The sequence below is a fragment of the Homo sapiens genome, chromosome 7, assembly GCF_000001405.40.
Source record: "Homo sapiens chromosome 7, GRCh38.p14 Primary Assembly".
Classification (NCBI taxonomy): domain Eukaryota; kingdom Metazoa; phylum Chordata; class Mammalia; order Primates; family Hominidae; genus Homo; species Homo sapiens.
Window position 1 is genome coordinate 129,519,206 of NC_000007.14, and position 22,524 is coordinate 129,541,729.

At 50.1% G+C, this 22,524-nt stretch overlaps 3 annotated features.

Annotated features, from left to right (window-relative positions):
- Window positions 7,263-7,764: an enhancer, noted in NCBI's record as "H3K4me1 hESC enhancer chr7:129166309-129166810 (GRCh37/hg19 assembly coordinates)". NCBI's record gives its function as "activates a minimal SCP1, AML or CMV promoter by ChIP-STARR-seq in naive H9 embryonic stem cells {active_cell/tissue: H9 hESC(naive)}" and the evidence as "EXISTENCE:reporter gene assay evidence [ECO:0000049][PMID:30033119]".
- Window positions 14,639-15,156: an enhancer, noted in NCBI's record as "NANOG-H3K27ac-H3K4me1 hESC enhancer chr7:129173685-129174202 (GRCh37/hg19 assembly coordinates)". NCBI's record gives its function as "activates a minimal SCP1, AML or CMV promoter by ChIP-STARR-seq in naive H9 embryonic stem cells {active_cell/tissue: H9 hESC(naive)}" and the evidence as "EXISTENCE:reporter gene assay evidence [ECO:0000049][PMID:30033119]".
- Window positions 15,157-15,674: an enhancer, noted in NCBI's record as "NANOG-H3K27ac-H3K4me1 hESC enhancer chr7:129174203-129174720 (GRCh37/hg19 assembly coordinates)". NCBI's record gives its function as "activates a minimal SCP1, AML or CMV promoter by ChIP-STARR-seq in naive H9 embryonic stem cells {active_cell/tissue: H9 hESC(naive)}" and the evidence as "EXISTENCE:reporter gene assay evidence [ECO:0000049][PMID:30033119]".

The window sequence follows — 22,524 nt, forward strand, 5'->3', positions numbered from 1 at the left end:
TCATTAGTAATAAAGCCAATCAAACTTTTTAAAATGTGCCATTTTATCCTGGAATACATCAGTATCCTTGATGATGATGATGATGATTATTATTATTATTATTAGTTTTGAGACAGGGTCTCGCTCTGTCACCCAGGCTGCAGTCCAGGGGCGTGATCTCAGCTCACCACAACCTCTGCCTCCCAGGTTCAGGCGATTCTCCTGCCTCAGCCTCCTGAGTAGCTGGGACCACAGGCGCGTGCCACCATGCCCGGCTAATTTTTTGTATTTTTAGCACAGACGGGATTTCACCGTGTTAGCCAGGATGGTCTTGATCTCCTGACCTCATGATCTGCCCCCTTCGGCCTCCCAAAGTGCTAGGATTACAGGTGTGAGCCACTGCACCTGGCCTCTTTGATATTTTAAACAGGTAGCTTTGCACTCTAACTCCAGGCATGTTCCTGCTGTGATTGTTACTCTGTGGCTGTCTGTCAAGGGCCCACCTTGCTGGGAGAGATGTGGTTTCCACTCTTGCTACACCCTTCTCCTCTCCCCCAATACCCTCCAGCGACCTCTGTTTTGACAAGTCTGGGCATGGCCCTGTCTCCCACCTCCATTCTGCTCCCATTCTGTCCTCTCTTTTTGTTCTCGTTTTCCTTGTTTGCCATATTCCCTGAATACAAAATCACCAGGGCTTCACTGGCTTCATGGTAAATCCCTCTGCAGGTCTCAACTCCAAGGTCACTTCCTCGGCAACATCTTCTCATGGTCAGGCCCACTGTCTTAGTCCCTTCCCGCTGCTATGACATAATACCTGGGCCTGGATAACGGATCAAAACAGAAATTTACTTCTCACAGTTCTGGCAGCTGTGAAGCCCAAGGTCAAGGTGCCAGCAGGTTCAGTATCTGGTGAGGGCTGCTCTCTGCTTTCAAGATGTCACCTTATTGCTGCATTCTTTGGAGTGGAGAAATGCTATGTCCTCATATGGAGGAAGGTAGAAGGGCAAGTGGCCAAATGCTACATGAAGCCTCTTTTTTTTTTTTTTTTTTTTTTTTTTGAGACAGAGTCTCACTCTGTGCCCAGGCTGGAGTGCAGTGGTGTGAAATCGGCTCACTGCAAACTCCACCTCCCAGCTTTATGAAATTCTCTGCCTCAGCCTCCCGAATAGCTGGTATTACAGGTGCGTGCCACCACGCCTGCTAATTTTTTGTATTTTTAGTAGAGACGAGGTTTCAGCATCTTGGCCAAGCTGGTCTTGAACTCCTGACCTCGTGATCCACCCGCCTTGTCCTTGCAAAGTGCTGGGATTACAGGTGTGAGCCACCATGCCCCGCCACATGAAGCCTCTTTTATAAGGACCTTAATCCATCCCGTGGGAGGAACCCTCAAGTTCTAATCACCTCTTAAAGGCCCCACATCTTAATACTATCACATTGGCAATGCCAGGTTTTTGGAGGGGACACATTCAAACCATAGCACCTGCCTTCCCCAAACCACCCCAAATCCCTTGGTATCTGTGCTTCTATTCCTTCACTTCACCAAAACTTTTCTCAAGTCACCAGTGACTTCCTGGTTTTCGGTCCAGTGGGCTTTTCTCCATCCTTTTAATTCTTTGCTTTATCCTTCAACTTACGTGTTCTCAGCACCTCCCATCTGGCAGGTGCTGGGCTGAGGGTTAGAAGAGAGAGACGGCTCTGGTCCCTGGCCACTTATCCAGCCTGATGCTTCCCCTCCTCTTCCTCTTCACAGGGAAATTGGAGGCTCTCAGGACTGAATAGGTCCCCTCCACTCTGCCTGCTTCCACCCTCACATGGTCTCCAGGAAGACTCTGTTTTTGAACTGACTTCCACTTGGCTTTGGAATCCTTTCTCCCTCATTTCAGGATGTAGAGCCTACTTCCCTGATTAGCCCTTTAAAAATATACACAGGAGCTGGGGCACAGTGGCTCTCGCCTGTAATCCCAGCACTTTGGGGGGCCAAGGTGGGCAGATCAGCTGAGGTCAGGAGTTCGAGACCAGCCTGACCAACATGGTAAAACACCGTCTCTACTAAAAATACAAAAATTAGCTGGGCGTGGTGGTGCATGCCTGTAATCCCAGCTACTTGGGAGGCTGAGGCAGGAGAATCACTTGAACCCAGGAGGTGGAAGTTGCAATGAGCTGAGACTGCACCACTGCACTCCAGCCTGGGTGACAGACTGAGACCGTGTCTCAAGAAAAAAAAAAATGCCAGGCATGGTGGCTCACACCTGTAATCCCAGCACTTTGGGAGGCCGAGGCAGGCGGATCACGAGGTCAGGAGATCGAGACCAGCCTGGCCAACATGGTGAAACCCCGTCTGTACTAAAAATACAAAAATTAGCCAGGCATGGTGGCACACACCTGCAATCCTAGCTACTCAGGAGGCTGAGGAAGGAGAATTGCTTGAACTCAGGAGGCAGAGGTTGCAGTGAGCTGAGATCACACTACTGCACTCCAGCCTGGGTGACAGAGCAAGAGTCCATCTCAGGAAAAAAAAAAAAAAAAAAGTACACAGGGAACACTTGGGAAAAACAAGAACCACAAATAAGACAATTAGAATCACCCCAAGTCCCGCCCATCTACAGCTAAGTTCTGTCAGCCATTTGTCACATTTGGTGTATACTCAGGCTGTTTTCTACGTGCTGGTATGAGTGTATCTCCATGTACACGAGGGTACACATTTTTATTCTAGGGCAAGTCTGTCTTCTGCATTTTCGAGCTCTTCCTCCCTGCCAGCTCCTTCCTCATAGCCTGGAAAAGAGAGACTCTTTTCCCCACTTTTTAATGCAAGAATCTGGGGCTCATTGAAGTTAGGAGTGAGGGTGGTCCAAAGACCTGTGGACCAGTAAGAATTGCACATTCATTAAATGAGTGTTTATCAAGGGCCTGTGTGTGCCAGGTACTGGGCGACAGACATGAGGCCAAGAGACATATGGTCCTGTTCTCCTGAGGCTGCAGTCTACGCGGAGCTGAAGGTGAGTAGGTATCAGTTGGTGCTGCTTGGTGTACCAGCACTGTCCAGGAGAATCATCTCTGATAATGGAGATGTTCTATGTTGCACGGTCCATCACAGGCTCGAACACGTGGGGCTGCTGAGCATGACATGTGGTCAGTGCGACTGAAGATCTGAATGTCTCATATGGTTTAATTGTAATTCATTCAAATTTAAGTAGCCGCATGTGGCTAGCGGCTATTGTATCAGACAGCGCAGAGCTACCTGCGGAAATGCTCTGACACAGTTGGGGAGGGGGAGAGAGGCAGGAAGATGTTACTGAGGAAGGGATGTTGGAGTTGAGAGCTGGAGAGGGATTTACCACGAAGCCAGCAAAGCCGTGGCCGTTTTGTGTCATGCTGTTGTGTTCTTTTTCTTAAAGAAAGTCCCCAAGCTCTAGGCCCCACAAAACCTGGCTCTGCCCCTGGACTAAGTTAGACAGGGCCAGAGCACGTGCAAAGGCACGAAGAAGGGAGCGTGGCAGAGCGAAGGGACTGAACAGAGCAGTGACTGGGGGAGGGGGCGACGAGAACCTTGTGAAATCCCAGTAGACCCCTTCAGGCCAGCCTGGTGGCTCCAGGATCCCAGCCGGCACCAAGGACAGCAGCAGCAGCGTGGTGACTCCTCGTTCCTGAGCTGCTGTAGTGAGAGGGCAGACTCCGCGAGCAGCGGCTGCCTGGTCCTCTTGGCTCTGCACCGCTTTCTCCCCCTGTGAGTTCTGCCTTCTGTCGGTTTCAGCGTCTCTACCACCACAGCTTGTTGTGATCCTCCGGGATCCCCTGTGACTCCTGCTTTACTTTCTGGTCTCTGTCTTTGCTTGCGTTGAGCTCCAGCTTCCTCTCCTAAATGCCTTATTCTCAGGGTTTGACAGGAGCAAGAGTCTGATTGACCACCCTTGTCTTTCGGGGCCAGGCTGTGTCGTGGCAGCCACTGAATGAGCTGTGGGGGTCCGGGGCTTCCCACCCCCATCAGCTATGCCTGAGGGTGGCAACGGTCAGGACCTGCAAAATACCCACCCAGGAATCTGCCTTGGGGTTGGGGCATGGAGACCACAGATTGCATGAGGGTTTGCTTCTGTCTCTTTGTCTCTCCCTCAGGCTGAAGTCTATCCCTTTAGAGTAAAGATCCTGGGAAGAACTTGCTTACTCTTTGGTCTTTTTCCTTTACTTCCTCACCTTTCTGTCACACATTTTTTTCCTCTCACTTTTTTTTGGTTACCACCTTTGTATTTTATTTATTTATTTTGAGACAGAGTCTTGCTCTGTCACCCAGGCTGGAGTGCAGTGGCACAATCTTGGCTCACTGCAACCTCAGCCTCCTGGGTTCAAGTGATTCTCCCACCTTAGCCTCCTGAGTAGCTGGGGCTACAGGGGCGCGCCACCACACTTGGCTGATTTTTGTATTTTTAGTAAAGACGGGGTTTCACCATGTTGGCCAGGCTGGTCTCAAAGTCCTGACTTCGAGTGGAAGTCAGTGGGTGATCCGCCCACCTTGGCCTCCCAAAGTGCTGGGATTACAGGTGTGAGCCAACGTGCCCGGCCCCAACTTTGTATTTAAAAAAATTAAAAATTGGCCAGGTCCAGTGGCACATGCCTTGTAGTCCCAGCTACTCGGGAGGCTGAGGCAGGAGAATCGCTTGAACCCAGGAGGCAGAGGTTGCAGTGAGCCAAGATCACACCATTGCACTCCAGCCTGGGTGACAGAGAGACTCTGTCTCAAAAAAATTAAATAAAATAAAAAATTAAAAATCCACAGGAAGGTTGAAAGAAAGTACAGTGAACACCCAGACTTTTCACATAGATGAAGGCTCTCAACCCCAGCACCCTGGATGGTTTGGGCTGGATACTTCTTTGTGCTGGGGGAGTCTGGTGAATTATAGGATGTTTAGCAGCTTCCTCAGTGAGGATGCTATAGCCTCCCGCTGCTAGCACCCCCTTGGCTATGACAACCAAACAGACATTGCCAGATGTCCCCTCCAGGCAAAATTGCCCCCGTTGAGAGCCATTGATCTGGCTTTATGAATTAACATTTTGTGACATTTATTTATACACACTCTTCATATACGTATATATTATATGTAGATATCATACAAATGCATATATGTATATATACACAGAAAACATTTACATGAAGAAATTTGCATCCATGCAGTATTATTTAATGTATACTCTGTATTCACTATTCACTTTTTCCTAATTATCCCAATAATGTTTTTAATGGATTTTTTGATCAATGATCCAGATGATCCAGTCAAGGATCATATTGCATTTAGCTGTTATGTCTCTTTAGTATCTGGTAATCTGAAACAGTTCCCTCCTTTTTGTGGGGGGAGGAGTCTTTTATGACATTGACCTTTTTTTTTTTCTTTTTCTTTTTCTTTTTTTTTTGGCTCCCTCTGTTGCCCAGGCTGGAGCAGTGGCGCAATCATGGCTCACTGCAGCCTCAACCTCCTGGGCAGAAGCCATCCTCCCATTTCAGCTGTGACCACAGGCATGTGCCACCACACCCAGCTAATTTTTTTGTATTTTTTGTAGAGATGGGGTTTCACTATGTTGGCCAGGCTGGTCTCAAACTCCTGAGTTCAAGCGATCCTCCCACCTGGGCCTCCCAAAATGCTGGGATTACAAGCATGGGCCTCCATGCCCTGCCAACATTGACTTTTCTGAGAAGTCTTGGCCCGGTTGTTTTGTGGAATGTTCCTCTGCTCCCCCCGCCTTTTTTTTTTTTTTTTTTGAGACAGAGTCTCACTGTGTTGCCAGGCTGGAGTGCAGTGGCACCATCTCAGCTCACTGCAACCTCCGCCTCCCGGGTTCAAGTGACTCTCCTGCCTCAGCCTCCCAAGTAGCTGGGACTACAGGTGCCTGCCACCACGCCCAGCTAATTTTTGTATTTTTAGTTGAGACAAGGTTTCACCAAGTTGGCCAGGTTGGTCTCCATCTCTTGATCTCGTGATCTGCCTGTCTCAGCCTCCCAAAGTGCTGGGATTACAGATGTGAGCCACTGCGCCCGGCTGCTCCTCTGCCTTTTCAACCCATTGCATTTGGACATCTGCCCCCACTGCTCCAGTGGAGCAGCTTCATAGCTGCCTTTGTTCCATCAGTTCTAAGAGTCCATGGCTTTTAAGCCATTCCGTCACTTTATGTACCACTAAGAGAGAAGGAAGAAAAACACCCCAACGGTGTTTTTCACCCCATTTCACCCTTCTCAGCTCCTCCCACAACTTAGCTCCTCCTCTTCCTTCTGCCCCTAAAGGAAGGGAGGTCATTCCTGCGGTTCCTAACTCTGTTTAACAATGAAGTGCCATCTGTGGTGTGAGACATCGAGACATCGTGTTCAAGTGTGAAAGGAGGTCTTCGAATGGATGAAATTTGGTAATTGCCAAGGCGAATCCCCTGTTTTCACTCACTCCCGTCTTGCAACTCTGTCCTCTCTTGGTTGCTTTGACACCTTCTCTCTGGCTCTCCTCCTGTCTCTGACTGTTCCTCTACATCCTTTTGCTTCTTCTCTTCCTGTGGTCTCCACTGATGTGTTGGTCTCCCTGTGGCCCCCCTACCTCGGCTGTGCTCTGTACCTCTTCCCCCAACCCTTCACTGGCCTGTGCAGATGGGACCAGGGTGGGATCATGGGCTATACAACCACAGCTGGATGAACCAGACTTTCTCTCTGGAGCCATGAAGATGGCTGTGGAAAATCAGGGAGATGTCCTGCCTGATTTGGGGAGTGGAGAATTTGGGACTAGGGCTCAGAAGAGAGGTGTTGGCTGGGGGGTAGATTTAGGCACTGTCAACTGTAGGTCATGGTTGGATCCAAGAACTGGGAAGGGTAGTGTAGAGATAAGAAAGGAGTTAGAGGCCAGGCACAGTGGCTCTCGCCTGTAATCCCAGCACTTTGGGAGGCTGAGGCGGGAGGATCGCTTGAGCCCAGGAGTTCAAGACCAGCCTGGCCAACATGGTAAAACCCTGTCTCTACTGAAAATACAAAAATTACCCGGGTGTGGTGGTGGGCACCTGTAATCCTAGCTCCTCAGGAGGCTGAGGCACAAGAATCCCTTGAGCCCTGGAGGTGGAGGCTGCAGTGAGCCAAGATTGCACCACTGCACTTGGGCCTGGGCAACAGAGTGGGACTCCGTCTCAAAATACATACATACATAATTTTTTTAAAAAAAAAAAGGAGTTAGGAACCGCGGGAACAACCTCCCTTCCTTTAGGGGCAGAAGGAAGAGGAGGAGCTGTGAAAGTTGTGGGAGGAGCTGGGAAGGGTGAGGAGCCTGGAGAGGCATTTGTGGAAGAAAAGGAGGGTCTGCGGGGCCACGCACATTGCAGAGACGCCAGGGAGGATGAGGGACGGGGACAAGGACAAGGGTCCTCATCAGGCTCTGCTGAAAAATAGGAGCTGAGAGTAAATGTGGAAAGGAAGAACCAGGACCTTCAGCCGGTGCCAATAATAATAATAATAATAATAATAATAATAATGAGGGCACAGACACCTCCTGGTCTCTGAATGCTGGCCTGAGCTGTGCTGAAGCAGGCATGGCCAGTGCGTGCCCCCTCTCTGGGCCTCGGGAGGATGCAGGGGTGTCCTGAGTGGCCGTCAGAACCTAGAGATGCAGCCAGTTTGAAGCAGCGTCCCTGGAGTGGCTGCTGCTCCTGGAGACTGGGCAGAAGTGCAGGCAGAGCCACTGCTGCTGGGCTAGTGGGAGTGCGGCCTGTCCTGTCAGATGGACAGAGTGGACGTGGTTTTGATTTCTCTTCACCTGATGTTTCTTATCACACACAATCCCCGTTGGCCATTGGTCTTTAAAAGCAACAGTGGGGGTTGGGGAGAGGCACACTGTTCCCCTGCCTCAACACTTCCATGACGCCCATCCCGTTGCTCTTGGGATGAGACATGGGCCCACAAGTCCTGAGTGGCCTGGCCCTGCCCAGCCCCCACCCCGCTAGCCCTTCCTCACCCTCCTCCTCGCAGTCCAGTCACCCAAGCTCCCTTCTGCCTCTGCCCACCACACTGGTCTCCCTTCCCTCTGCCTAACTCCCGTTCATCCTCCAGCTCAGCTTTCTGTCCTCCAAGAGCAGCCCTCCCCGAGCCCTGGCAGGCAGGTCACCTGGCTACCTACACTCTTCAGTGCCCTGCATTTCCTCATACTTTTTTTGGAGATAGGGTTTTTCCCTGTCACCCAGGCTAGAATGCAGCAGCATGGTCACCACTCACTGCAGCCTCGACCTCCTGGGCTCAAGCGATCCTCCCACCTCAGCCTCCCCAGTCGCTGGGACTACAAGTGCATGCCACCACACCTGGCTAATTTTTTTTTTTTTTTTGTAGAGACAGGGGTCTTGCTCTGTTGCCCGGTCTGGTCTCCAACTCCTGGCCTCAAGTGATCCTCCCATCTCATCCTCCCAAAGTGCTGGGATTACAAGCATGAACCACCACGCCCAGCCTCTCCATACTTTACAACAAAATGGTGAATTGTACAATGGGTTGTTTATGGCTCTCTTCCCTGCTAGCGTGTAGCTCTCTGAGAGGAGAGCTTGTCAGCTTATTGATGGCTTTCTTGTTCCCAGCTATATTGCCAGCACCTTGACACATAAGTAAATATTTATGGAAGATTTTTATAACAAGTTATATTACAGTAACAAGTAACCCCCAAACCTCAGCAGCTTAATGCAACCAAGGTTTATTTCTTGTATAGGCTTTGCACCCATTGAGGGTAGATGGGGGAGGCTGCTCTCTGTCACCCTCCTCAGAAGTATAAATTGCACACAGACTCTTCTTATTTTATTTTTCTTTTTTTGCGATGGAGTCTCGCTCTGTCGCCCAGGCTGGAGTGCAGTGGCATGATCTTGGCTCACTGCAACCTCCACCTCCCAGGTTCAAGCGATTCTCCTGCCTTAGCCTCCCGAGTAGCTGGGACTACAGGTGCCCACCACCACGCCCAGCTAATTTTTGTACTTTTAGTAGAGACGGGGTTTCACCATGTTGGCCAGGATGATCTCGATCTCTTGGCCTTGTGGTCTGCCCACCTCGGCCTCCGAAAGTGCTGGGATTACAGGTGTGAGGCACTGCGCCCAGCCCACAGACTCTTACAGTTCTCACCTGGAGGGGAAGTTTAAGTGACAGGTGCCACTTCTCTTGTTTTGTTGGCCAAAGCACATCACATAGCCGCACTTCGCTTTCAGGGAGCAGGGAAAAATGATGACACAACAGGCCCCAGAGGAGAACCAGAAATAGCGGCTGGACAGCACTCACTCCCTCAGACAGGCGCCACTTTTGTAATGAATTTTTTTTCTTTTTTTGAATGGAGTTTTGCTCTTGTTGCCCAGGCTGGAGTGCAATGGCATGATCTTGGCTCACCACAACCTCCCCTCCCCAGTTCAAGTGATTCTCCTGGCTCAGCCTCCTGAGTAGCTGGGGTTATAGGTAACCCTACCATGCCCAGCTAATTTTTTTTGTATTTTTAGTAGAGACGGGGTTTCACCATGTTGGCCAGGCTAGTCTCGAACTCCTGACCTCAAGTGATCCACCTGCCTCGGCCTCCCAAACTGCTGGGATTATAGGCATGAACCACCGCACCCAGCCTGTAATGAATTTTTTAAAATTCAGAAAACAATTTAAAAAAGCACAAGGCTGAGAGACAGCTGGCATCAGGAGCTGGGTGGAAGAAGAGGTGGCATGATTGGTACTTATTCCTCAACTTGCTGTTTCTGTGCACTGTGTTTAATTTCTCCAGCCGCCTGTAGAGGTGTCCAAAGCCTTTGGGATGCCTGAACAAAGCACGGAGCTTCAAGTCTCAAAACTCTTCTTAATCTCTGATCGCATTTGTTTCTGCACCTCCAACTCCTAGAGAAATTGTTGAAATAAGATGTCGGTCGTGAAATATTTTCTTTTGATTAGTGCTTACATTTATCAAAATGCAATTCATAATTCAGCATTTACACTATTATTTGTGTTGAGACAGTGTGCTTCCTGATTTCTTGTGTGAAAAAAAAAAGTGGAGGCCAGGCATGGTGGCTCATGCCTGTAATCTCAGCACTTTGGGAGGCTGAGGTGGGCAGATCACCTGAAGTCAGGGGTTCAAGACCAGCCTGGCCAACACGGCGAAGCCTCGTCTCTACTAAAAATACAAAAATTAGCCGGTTGTGGTGTTGGATGCCTGTAATCCCAGCTATTCGGGAGGCTGAGGCAGGAGAATCGCTTGAGCCCAGGAGGCAGAGGTTGCAGTGAGCTGAGATGGCACCACTGCACTCCAGACTGGGCGACAGAGTGAGATTCCATCTCAAAGAAAAAGAAAAAGAAAGTGGAAGATTTTTTTCAATTGCAAAAATTCTTAGGAGTTCAGCCTTCCCATTTGTTCAAAGCAGAATTAACAACAAGAGAATCTCACGGAGCATGATGTCTTCTGTGATGTCTTCTTCTCCTGCCCTGGCAGAGTCATGGAGCCTTGGAGATTACCCTCCAGCCCTCAGAGCAGTGTGCAGCCAAAGTTGGTCCCTGGAAGCTCGCACACAGGCCCAACCCAGACCCCGGGTCCTGCCTCTATGGCTGCAGGCAGGTCTATCCACCCTGCTGCAAAGTGGCCTTTCATAACCCTGGGGGCAGTTCTTTGTGAAGAGGGATGCCTCAGACACCCAATCCCTTCAGACGCTTTTTACTTGACATGACCCCCTCTTAGGTCGCCCTCTTTTGGATGCAGCCAGTTTGTCATTGTGCCTCTAGCTAAGATGGGACCTCCACAGTTGGTTATGTGATTTCATAGTGCAGTGAGGTTCTGGGCTCCTGAAATCTGGCTGGTAGACCATCCCTCCCTGCCAAGCATGAGGCTTTTAGAATAGATTCATTTTTCCTTTAAAATAGATCAAAGTGGCCAGGCATGGTGGCTCATGCCTGTAATTCCAGCATTTCGCGAGGATGAGGCAGGAGGATCACTTGAGGCCAGGAGTGCAAGACCAGCCTGGCCAACAGAGAGAGACCCTGTCTCTACAAACAAATTAAAAAATTAGCCAGATGTGGTGGGTCATGCCCCTAGTCCCAGCTACTTGAGAGGCTGAGGCGGGAGAATTGCTTGAGCCCAGGAGTTCGAGGCTCCAGTGAGCTGAGATTGCACCACTGCACCCCAGCCTAGGTGACAGAGTGAGACCTTGTATCTCAAAAAAAAAAAAAAAAAAAAAAAGCCAACGTGGTGGCTCAGGCCTGTAATCCCAGCACTTTGGGAGCCTGAGGCAGGCGGATCAACTGAGGTCAGGAGTTCGAGGTCAGACCAACATGGCAAAACCCCGTCTCTACTAAAATCACAAAAAATTAGCTGGGTGTGGTGGTGGGCACCTGTAATCTCAGCTACTTGGCAGGCTGAGGCAGGAGAATAACTTGAATCCAAGAGGTGGAGGTTGCAGTGAGCCGAGATCATGCCACTGCCCTTCAGCCTGGGTAACAGAGTGAGATTCTGTCTCAAAAAAAAAAAAAAAAACATAAAAAATTTAAAAAATAGATCAAGGTTCAGTGCAGCCACTGTGGAAAACAGTTTGGGATATTCCTCAAAAAGTTAAACATAGAACATGACCCAGCAATTCCCCTTCTAGGGGTATACTTAAGAGAAATGAAAGCAGGGAGCCAAACAGATACTTGTCCGCAATTTCCATTGCAACATTATTCACAATGACCAAAAGGTGGAATCAAACCAAGCGTCCATGAGCAGACAAATGGATAAACAGATGTGATGCGTTCACTCAATATTCAGCCCTAAAGAGGAAGGAAATCCTGACACATGCTACAACAGTGATGAACCTTGAAAACATTCTGCTGAGTGAAATAAGCCAGACCCAAAAGGACAAATATTCTATGACTCACCTAGATGAGTAATTTAGAATAGGTGAGTTCATTGACACAATGTAGAATAGTGCTGGTGGTGGTGGTGGTGGTGGTGGTGGTGGTGGTGGTGGTGGTGTGTGGGAGGGGGGTGTTGCTGAGGAGGGGCTGGAATGGAAACTCATTATTGTTTGTTTTTGTTTTTGTTTTTTTTTGAGACAGAGTCTCGCTCTGTCACCCAGGCTGGAATGCAGTGGCACAATCGTGCCTCACTGAAACCTCCACCTCCCAAGGCTCAAGTAATCCTCAGGCCTCAGCCTCCCAAGTAGCTGGGACTGGGACTGCAGGGTGTGTCACCACACCTGGCTGGGAAGTTATTGTTTAGAGCATTTGTTTGGGATGATGAAAAGGTTCTAAATGCATGTCAGTGATTGTTACACAACATTGTGAAGGGTCTTAATGCTGCTAATTTATACACTTAAGCATGGTTAAAATGGTAAATTTTATGTATATTTTACAACAATACAAAATACAAAATAAAATCAAGGCTTCTCCCTTTTTGTTCCAGGTCTCTGAGAGAGGTGGCGGCGGAGGGACAGCAGATGCAGGGCAGAGGCCCCCATGCCCCGAGGCTTTCTCTCTGCGTGGGGGCAGGGTGGGGTGGGTGGCAGATAGAAGGGAGAGGCTTTCTCAGAAGGACCGGCCACCACCCCAGTCCTTTGCTCGAAGCCTTCTCTCCCCTCGCGGCGCAGAGAAGCCAATCCTCCCTCTGCCCCTGCACACCTTGCCCCCCAGTCTCAAGGCCACACCTGGGCTACTAGTCACCTGGCCCACCCCACTCCTTTACCCTCTGAGGCCTCGAACCCACCTCCCACAGAAAACAGTCCACACCTGCCTGCTCGCCCTTCACCGCTCCTGACACACCCAGCTGGAATCTACATTTCCTTATTCGCACCTTGGATCTGTCATGCGGTGAACAGCCGTCTGCAGTTATTTCAATTTTGTGTGTTCTCTCCCTGACTAGGATATAGAAGGTAGGATATAGACTAGGAGGTAGAGAAGCTGTGATGAGACGTCAGGCTGGAGGCAGAGCCTCAGAGTGCAGACTCGGGGAGGCCATGCAAACTGCGGCTGCGAGCTCAGGGGCTCACTCATGTGTCCCCAGTCACTGTCATGCGGACTGTCATCGTATTTGCCAAAAACGCTTCACAAGGGGAGCTATAAACAGCAGTGTCCACCCAATAGGGCCCACGCCTTGACCTTGGAGTTGAATCGTCAGCACCACTTGACCGCTTCTCTCTGTGTCCTTCACCCTTGACCTCTTTGACAGTGTGGTGCCGGGTGTGTGCAGCCTGAGGGAATCTGTTCCGGGACGTGGTTGAGCTCCATCTGCCCTGCTAAATTCAGCCTCCAAGAGCCCATATGGCAACGCCGCAGCTTGAGGCCGCCGTACAGCCAGGCTGTGTGTGCGTGTGTGCACACTCTGTGTGTGTGTCCATGTGCGTGCATCCGTGTGCTTGTGTGCGTGTGTCTGTGTGCATGCATGTGCGTGTGCCCGTGTGCATGCGTACACTCTGTGTATGTCCATATGCATGTGTGCGTGTGTCTGTGTGCGTGCGTGCACACTCTGAGTGCATGTGTACACTGTGTGCGTGTGTGTTGTGTGTGTCCACACCACCACCAAGTGAGCTCAGATGGAGGACAGAAGAGTTTGAAGGTGTGGCTAATGTTGATCTTGAGAGGCGATGAAAGGGCGGCGCAGGGTGTGGGAGGGACGGGCCCCTAGGTTGCTGTGGTGGAGAGAATCCCTTGGCCCAGCTTTGCTTTGATGGATGGGTCAGCTGAGGTTCTCCTGGTTTAGGCCTCTGGTCAAAATGCAGCAGCCTGCTGACAGGTCCTTCCCTTGAATGACAAGTCTGGCTCACCACGGTGCCCAGTCAGAGGCATCTGCCCCTGTACCCCAGATCTTTGCATTTTACCCAGAGCCCTCCATTCATGGGCTCTACTGCAGTCTCTGTCTCCCCAGTGCCGGTAAGTTGACCTCAGCCCTCTGTAGGCTCCACGGACGGACAAGGAAGGTCGAGTGCCTTCTCCAGCTCCACCTTGGGCGGCCACCATGGCTCCTGCAGCCAGTCCACCCAGAATGTCTCCAGCTGCCACCATGTACAGAAGATGGGGGCAAGAACCGCCTGTTAAGAGCTGAATGTTTTTGTTCCTTCCCTCTTCAGTTCATTTGTTGAACCCCTAACTCCAAATGTAATGGTATTTGGAGGCGGGGCCTTTGGGAGGTAATTAGGGTTAGATGAGGTCACGAGGGTTGTGACGGTGAATATTGGGTGACTGCATTGAGGAATGCCTAGATGGCTGGTAAAGTACCCTCCTGGGTGTGTCTGTGAAGATGTCGCCAGAGGAGATTGATATTGGAGTTGAGGACTGGGAGAGGAAGACGCACCCTCATTGTGGGTGGGCACCATCCAGTCGGCTGCCAGGGCAGCTAGAACAAAGCAGGCGGAAGAAGAGGGATAGCTTTGCTGGCTGAGTCTTCTGGCTCTATTTTTCCTTCTAGTGCTGGATGCTTGCTTCCCCACCTCCTGCCCTCGGACAGCAGACTCCAGGTTCTTTGGCCTTTGGACTCTGGGACTTGTACCAGTGACTTCCCAGGGGCTCTCAGGCCTTCAGCTGCAGACTGGAGGGTGCACTGACGGCTTCCCTGGTTTTGAGGCTTTCAGACTCGAACTGAGCCACTACCGGCTTCTCTCTTTCCCTAGCTTTCAGACAGCCTATCGTGGGACTTGGCCATGTAATCGTGTGAGCCAGTTCTCCCTAATAAACTCCCTTTCGTATATACATGTATCTTATTGGTTCTGTCTCCCTGAAGAACCCTAACGCAAGTGTGGAATCCCCATGATGGGATTAGTGTCCCTTTCACTTGCGTAAAGAGACCACCAAACAGGCTTTGTGTGAGCAACAAGGCTGTTTATTTCACCTGGGTGCAGGCGGGCTGAGTCCGAAAAAGGAGAGTCAGTGAAGGGAGATAGGGGTGGGGGCCGTTTTGTAAGATTTGGGTGGGTAGTGGAAAATTACAGTCAAAGGGGGTTGTTCTCTGGCAGGCAGGGGCAGGGGTCACAAGGGCTCAGTGGGGGAGCTTTTGAGCCACGATGAGCCAGGAGAAGGAATTTCACAAGGTAATGTCATCAGTTAAGGCAGGGACTGGCCATTTTCACTTCTTTTGTGGTGGAATGTCATCAGTTAAGGCAGGAACAGGCCTTTCTCCCCCGCCCACCCCCAGACGGAGTCTCGCTCTGTCGCCCAGGCTGGAGTGCAGTGGCGCAACCTTGGCTCACTACAAGCTCCGCATCCCGGGTTCACACCATTCTCCTGCCTCAGCCTTCTGAGTAGCTGGAACTGCAGACACCCGCCACCACGCCCGGCTAGTTTTTTTGTATTTTTAGTAGAGGCAGGGTTTCACTTCACTGTGTTAACCAGGATGGTCTCGATCTCCTGACCTTGTGATCTGCCCGCCTCGGCCTCCCAAAGTGCTAGGAGTACAGGCATGAGCCACCACGCCTGGCCAAGAACAGGCCATTTTCACTTCTTCTATGATTCTTCAGTTACTTCAGGCCATCTGGATGTATACGTGCAGGTCACAGGGGATATGATGGCTTAGCTTGGGCTCAGAGGCCTCACAGTCCCTTTAAGAACAGGCACCAGAGAGCTTGCCCTCTCTCTCCACGTGTACACACGAAGAAGGGGTCACGTGAACACAGCAAAATGGCGGCCACCTACAAGCCAAGAGAAGAGGCCTGGGAATGAAATCTCCCTCCTCTGGCCAGGCGCGGTGGCTCACACTTGTAATCCCAGCACTTCGGGGGGCCAAGGCGGGCGGATCACAGTGTCAGGAGTTCGAGACCAGCCTGGCCAATATGGTGAAACCCTGTCTCTACTAAAAAAAAAAAAAATACAAAAATTAGGCATGATGGCGCGGGCCTGTAGTCCCAGCTACTCAGGAGGCTGAGGCAGAAGAATTGCTTGAATCTGGGAGGCGGAGGGTTGCAGTGAGCCGAGATTGCACCATTGCACTCCAGTCTGGGCAACAGAGCAAGTTCCGTCTCAAAAAAAAAAAAAAAAAAAAAAAAACAAGGAAGAGAGACCTAACTTGACACAGTCTCTTGCCCTTTCACCATGCGATGCCCTTCACAGTGTTACAAAGCAGCAAGAAGGCCCTTGAAACATGCCGGCGCCATGCACTCAGACTCCCAGCCTCCAAAACTGTAAGAAATAGTTTCTTATCTTTATAAATTATCCAGTATATGGATTTTGTTATAGCTACAGAAAACAGATGAAGACAACAGGCTATGTGGTTAGCATAGTGCCTAGCATGTGGTAAATACACAATACATGTTAGTGTTCTCAAGGACTAATTAAGGAATGTGTCACTGACACAGCCTGCTATTCAGACTGTGGGTTTGCTTTCTTCCTACCTTCAAGTTTGTTCCCACATACAAATCCTGTGAAGTTAACTATTTAAAATTCTCAACAGAAACTTAATTCTGTACATCAGAATGGAAAGTTTAAAGTCAAAGCCAGGCATGGTGGCTCACACCTGTAATCCCAGCACTTTGGGAGGCTGAGGCAGGTGGATCACCCGAGGTCAGGAGTTTGAGACCAGCCTGGTCAACATGGTGAAACCCCATCTCTACTAAAAATACAAAAATTAGCCGGTTGTGGGGGCAGATGCCTGAAATTCCAGCTACTTGGGAGGCTGAAGCAGGAGAATTGCTTGAACCCGGGAGGTGAATGTTGCAGTGAGCCGAGATTGTGCCATTGGACTCCAGCCTGGGCAACAAGAGCAAAACAACGTCTCAAAAAAAAAAAAAAAAAAAAAAAAAAGTCGAACAAACTGACAATTAGGACTATGCAGAGAGTGCTGAAGAAGTGTGCGTTAATGTCCTTGAGCTCAAAGACCTTCCATTTTTCAAACATTTAGCTTTGAAAGAAAGAATAGATGCACAGACCTTGAGTCTGAAATAGCAGGGAACATCAGTTCAGCTGGCACTGCCCTGTCACAAGGGGCTGTGGGGCTGGGGTGTGGGGGTAGAGTGAAGCACAGCTCAGGAAATGGTTACAATTTTGTGGTAGGAGTGATAAGTTTGTCCTCAAAGCTGAAGGTAAGAATATGCGTTTACAACAGATCTGCTCACTTCAGAATGGCAATGGTGCAACAGAATCTTAAAAACAACAACGATGCACATTTTCCTCAAAATAAAATTCGAAGAACAAATGAAATGGAACTCCAGTGGCGTTCTAGGTCCCAGGAACTCAGGACTTCTTGCCATTCCATTGTTAAACCCTCTGAACTCTTCTGAGGCGGTCGCCGTGGGCATGGGTTTTGTTTTCCATAAGACATTAAGATAAGTGCCACAAAATTCTCTTTGTTTAAATCTACTTCTGTTCTCATGGTAACGGAGGGTCCATCAGCACCAAAATATATAAAGGCACCAAGGCAGCGTGAAGATGTTACTACGACAACTGGAATTTAGAGGAGACATTTTTAAAGGCGTGTGGGAGGCTTTCACTTCGCTTTCTTCATGAAAGCCTGGGCAGGATGAGTCAGGCATTTTAGAAAACAGGGGTACGGGGGTACCCTGGGGTCTAAGGTCTGGGTGGTTCCACAGTCACAGTGCTGGCTGGGACATGGGATGACAAAGAGTGTTGGCTACAGAATTCTGTGAAATCTCTTCAGCGAAAGGTTGCTCTCTTATCAGGAATTATATAGAGAGATCTTTGTGTTGAGAGGAGGTGGGATTGAGGAGTATTTGCGGAGATGAACTCTAAATTTTAGTCTTCATGGAATTTGTAAATACAAGAAGACTAGGAGAAACAATCTTACATTTAAAAAGGTCCATTCAGGCCAGGTGCGGTGGCTCACGCCTGTAATTCCAGCACTTTGGGAGGCCGAGGCAGTGGATCACCTGAGGTCAGGAGTTCAAGACCAGCCTGGCCAACATAGTGAAACCCCGTCTCTACTAAAAATAAAAAAATTAGCCGGGCATGGTGGCACACGCCTGTAGTCCCAGCTACTCAGGAGGCTGAGGCAGGAGAATCGCTTGAACCCGGGAGGTGGAGGTTGCAGTGAGCAGAGATCACACCACTGCACCCCAGTTTGGGCAACAGAGTGAGACTTTGTCTCAAAAATGTAAATAAAAATATAAAAAAAATTTAAAAGGCCCATTCTCTGCCGGGCACAGTGGCTCATACCTGTAATCCCAGCACTTTGGGACGCCAAGACAGTCGGATCATGAGGTCAGGAGATCAAGACCATCCTGGCCAATATGGCGAAACCCCGTCTCTAAAATATAAAAATTAGTCAGGCGTGGTAGCGGGCGCCTGTAATTCCAGCTACTCGGGAGGCTGAGGCAGGAGAATCGCTTGAACCTGGGAGGTGGAGGTTGCAGTGAGCCAAGGTCAAGCCACTGCACTCCAGCCTGGGCGACAGAGCAAGACTCCATCTCAGGAAAAAAAAAAAAAAAAAAAAAAAGTCCATTTTCAAAGTAAATGAATAGTCTGTTCTCCAGTTTGGAATGTACAGGTACTACCAGGAACTTGAAAAGGATGTGACATTTCCATTTTCCTTTGAGGTTGTGAATTTATTTCTCATCCTGGGCCTAACAGAGCTAAAAATGTTGTCTTTGTTGTTATGTTTACTGTATATGCCTAATTTCAGTATTAGGGCTACAGCAGATCTGTGGACCAGCTGAGGGATGCCAGCCTTCTGCATGTGGCACCGGAAAAACCTCACACTCCGGGGTGAGCTCTGTGTCCTAGGCCCTCAGAGCCCCCTTCCAGTCCTTCGTGATGACTGCCTAGCCCAGCCAGCCCTCCCAGTTAATGGTGTTCATTTTCACCTGTTTGGGGTGATTTGACATTGCCCCCGTATCTGCCTGTTCTTCTCTGAAATGTCTCCTTAAGGCAGTCACTTCTGGCCGGGCACAGTGGCTCACCCCTGAAATCCCAGTACTTTGGGAGGCTGAGGCGGGTGGATCAGTTGAGGCCAGGAGTTCAAGACCAGTCTGGCTAACATGGCGAAACCCCATCTCGACTAAAAATAAAAAAATAAAAATTAAGGGCCAGACATGGTGGCTCTCGCCTGTAATCCCAGCACTTTGGCAGGCCAAGGTGGGCAGATCACTTGAGGCCAGGAGTTCGAGACCAGCCTGGCTAGCATGGCAAAATCCCGTCTCTATTCAAAATACAAAAATTAGCCTGGCATGGTGGTGCATACCTGTAGACCCAGCTACTTGGGAGGCTAAGGCATGAGAATCGCTTAAACTTAGGAGGCAGAGGTTGCAGTGAGCCGAGATGGTGCCATTGCACTCCAACCTGGGTGACAGAGCAAGACCCTGTCTCAAAAAAGCAAAAAAAGAAAAATTAGCTGGGCCTGGTGGCGTGCACCTGTAGCCCCAGCTACTCAGGAGGCTGAAGCTCAAGAATCCTTGAACCAGAGAGGTGGAGGTTGAAGTGAGCTGAGATTGCACCACTGCACTCCAGCCTGGGCAACAGAGCAAGACTCTGTCCCAAAAAAAAAAAAAAAAAAAAAAAAAGTCACTTCTCTTGGCCTCACGATGTAACCACAGTTAATTGAATGTGGCCCAGGCACAGGTCATATGAAGGTCTCTGGTAGAGTCAGGACCTTCCTAGTCAGCTCCAGAGGGATCTCAGGCAGGAGTTATGCAGCTCAGAGCAAGAAGCCTGGGTAGAGAAGCTTCTGTACACAGATTTCTTTAATTCTCCCAATAACCCTAGGGAAGAAGTAACCTGTCCAAGGTCACAGAGGAGTCCAAGGTCACTGATAAGTGAAATTGAAGCCTGGGAGAGGGTGACAGTGTAAGTTTCCACCAGCTGACATTAGAGTTGAGGGAACCTGGAGCATCTTGCTGTGACTTTGCCATTTTGGCTCTTGGGCCCTACATCATTGGGTGGGGCTTACAGAGAAGTTGCAGATCCTGCAGAGATTCACTGATGCTTTGCCATATTCTGGCAGATATTACTCATGTTTTTTATCTTCTGTATTTTGTGATGCTTGACATCTTGGGGGCCTTGTGAACCTGGAGAGAGACTGCTCTTATGCCAGGGCTAGTTAATGCCTAGAAATAGCAGACAACTCACCTAGAAGCCTGACTTTCATATGCAAACCAGCCACCTCTTCACCCTGTCACGCAGGCTCGAGTGGCAGTGCCACGATCATGGCTCACTACAGGCTTGGCTGCTTGGGCTCAAGCCACCTTCCCACCTCAGCCTCCTGAGTAGCTGGGACTGCAGGTGTACACCACCATGCTTGGCTAATTTTTAAAATTTTTAGTAGAGATAAGGTCTTGCTATGTTACCCAGGCTGGTCTCAAACTCCTGGGCTCAAGCAATCCTCCTGCCTTGGCCTCCCAAAGTGTTGGGATTCCAGGTGTGAGCCACTGAGCCCGGCCCAGACCAGCTCCTTCTGAGTCTACACTCTTGATCTGTGTCCTTTGATCAGGACTGGCTCCTGCAGTCCAGCACATTATCCCCTGGTCTGAATCACCCCAAGACCAGGTAGCAGACAACTAGGGACCACCCCTGGAGCCCACCAAAATTATTCAAACTATCTCATCCAGAGCCTGCTCAGCTTGCATACCCCACCTTGTGCATGATTTCCCACAAAACTCCGGCCCGTGTTTCCACCCCATAAACCCTTCAGCCCATAAATGCTCCAGCCCATGTTCCCCTCTTACCGCCTCTGCCTCCTGACCAACCCTGGTGCTGCCCTGTGTGAGCCTGTGTGGTGTGGTGTGCCCCTTCCTCATGGGAACTGTGAGTAACAAACTACTTTTTCAAAGGCAGTTATCCCCTGCGCTGTTGCTCTCTTTGAAAAACAAAGCCCCAGGTTCATTTTAAGCCATAGGAGAGAGGGATGAGGAGGGCCAAAGTGGGCCACTCTCATTGAAGCTGTCCCCTCTCCCATTTACAGGGGGCGTCCTGCGCGTCACCTGTCTGCCTCTTACATTAGGGTGAGTGGCCTTTTCTCCCCCTTTCTCTAGCTCCTGCCTCTTCTTTTTTTTTTTTTTTTTTTTTTGAGACGGAGTCTGGCTCTGTCGCCCAGGCTGGAGTGCAGTGGCATGATCTTGGCTCACTGCAAGCTCCGCCTCCTGGGTTCACGCCATTCTCCTGCCTCAGCCTCCCGAGTAGCTGGGACTACAGGCACCCACCACCATGCCCGGCTAATTTTTTGTATTTTTAGTAGAGATGGGGTTTCACCGTGTTATCCAGGATGCTCTCGATCTCCTGACCTTGTGATCCACCCGCCTTGGCCTCTCAAAGTGCTGGGATTACAGGCATGAGCCACCGCACCCGGCCAAGCTCCTGCCTCTTCTACCCTTTCCCCTAAAGCCCAAAGGCTAAGCCTGGGTTCACGGAGAGGCCAGGCCTGGGACGAGATCAAGGCTGTGACCTATTTAGTTTCCTCCATTTCCCGTCCTCTCACATCAGTGCCTGCTCGAATCCACCAGAGCTCTGGGGAGAATGTATTTGCATCCAGAACTTTTTCCAGCCACAAGGTGTGAAAACTCCATGTGAAGTTGTGTCTCCTCACATTGTGGATCTGGCAGCCTCAGTGGGGTGGCTTGGCTGGGGACAAGGCCCAGGAGCATGGCAGGGGCGTGCCGTTACCCACATCTTCCCAGCTCCCCGGGCCCTCCTGGGATGAGCAGGCCGTCTTTCAGCCCAGGGCCACATGCTGTCACCAGGTCCCTGACCTTTCTCTCACTTATACAATTAATTTATGCAACTTGAATCATCAGCTCTGTTTTCAGCATTTACGGGCTTGCTATTCTTTTCTTTTTGAGATGGAGTTTCGCTCTTGTCACCCAGGCTGGAGTGCAATGGCACAATCTTGGCTGCAACCTCTGCCTCTCAAGTTCAAGCAATTCTCGTGCCTCAGCCTCTGGAGTAGCTGGGATTACAGGCGTCTGCCACCACGCCCAGCTAATTTCTGTATTTTTAGTAGAGACGGGGTTTCACCATGTTGGCCAGGCTGGTCTTGAACTTCTGACGTCAAGTGATCTACCTGCCTCAGCCTCCCAAAGTGTTGGGATTACAGGCATGAGCTACCATGCCTGGCCTGGTCTTGCTCTTCTTAGCAGACTATTTATAGTTTGGAATGGTAGTGAGAGTAACAGTATGATGACCCAGGACAATGACAACACTGATCAAATTGACAGAGCATGTGACATGGGCTGGTTCTTTCATCGCAGAGTAGCCGCACAGGTGAATTTGGTTGCAGCAGGAGAGGCAGCAATGAAGAAGAAAAGCTGGATGGAAGGGAATACTGGAGAAAGGGCTGTGGCCTGGCTGTGATGGCTTGGAGGGCCAGGTGAAGGGCTCAACCCTGATTCTGTGGGATGCAGTCCCTCCCAAAGGTCTGAGAAGGGCGTGGCCAGGTGTGTGTGTGAGAGAGGACCTTCATGATGGAGGCCATATTTATGGGGACAGGAAGAAATGGGGAAATCACTGCCAGAGCCCAAGTGAAGATGAGCACGCCAACGGGCCTGGGGAGCAAACAGCACAGGAGCCCCAGAGACATTGTAGAAGCAATGGAATGGGTCCTTGTCATCCATGAGGAGCACTTTTGCAGACCTTCAGGAATCCCCGGCTTTAAGAGCATCACCCATTGGGCTGAAGGTGCTGCGGGCGGTCGACGCTCCCTTGCT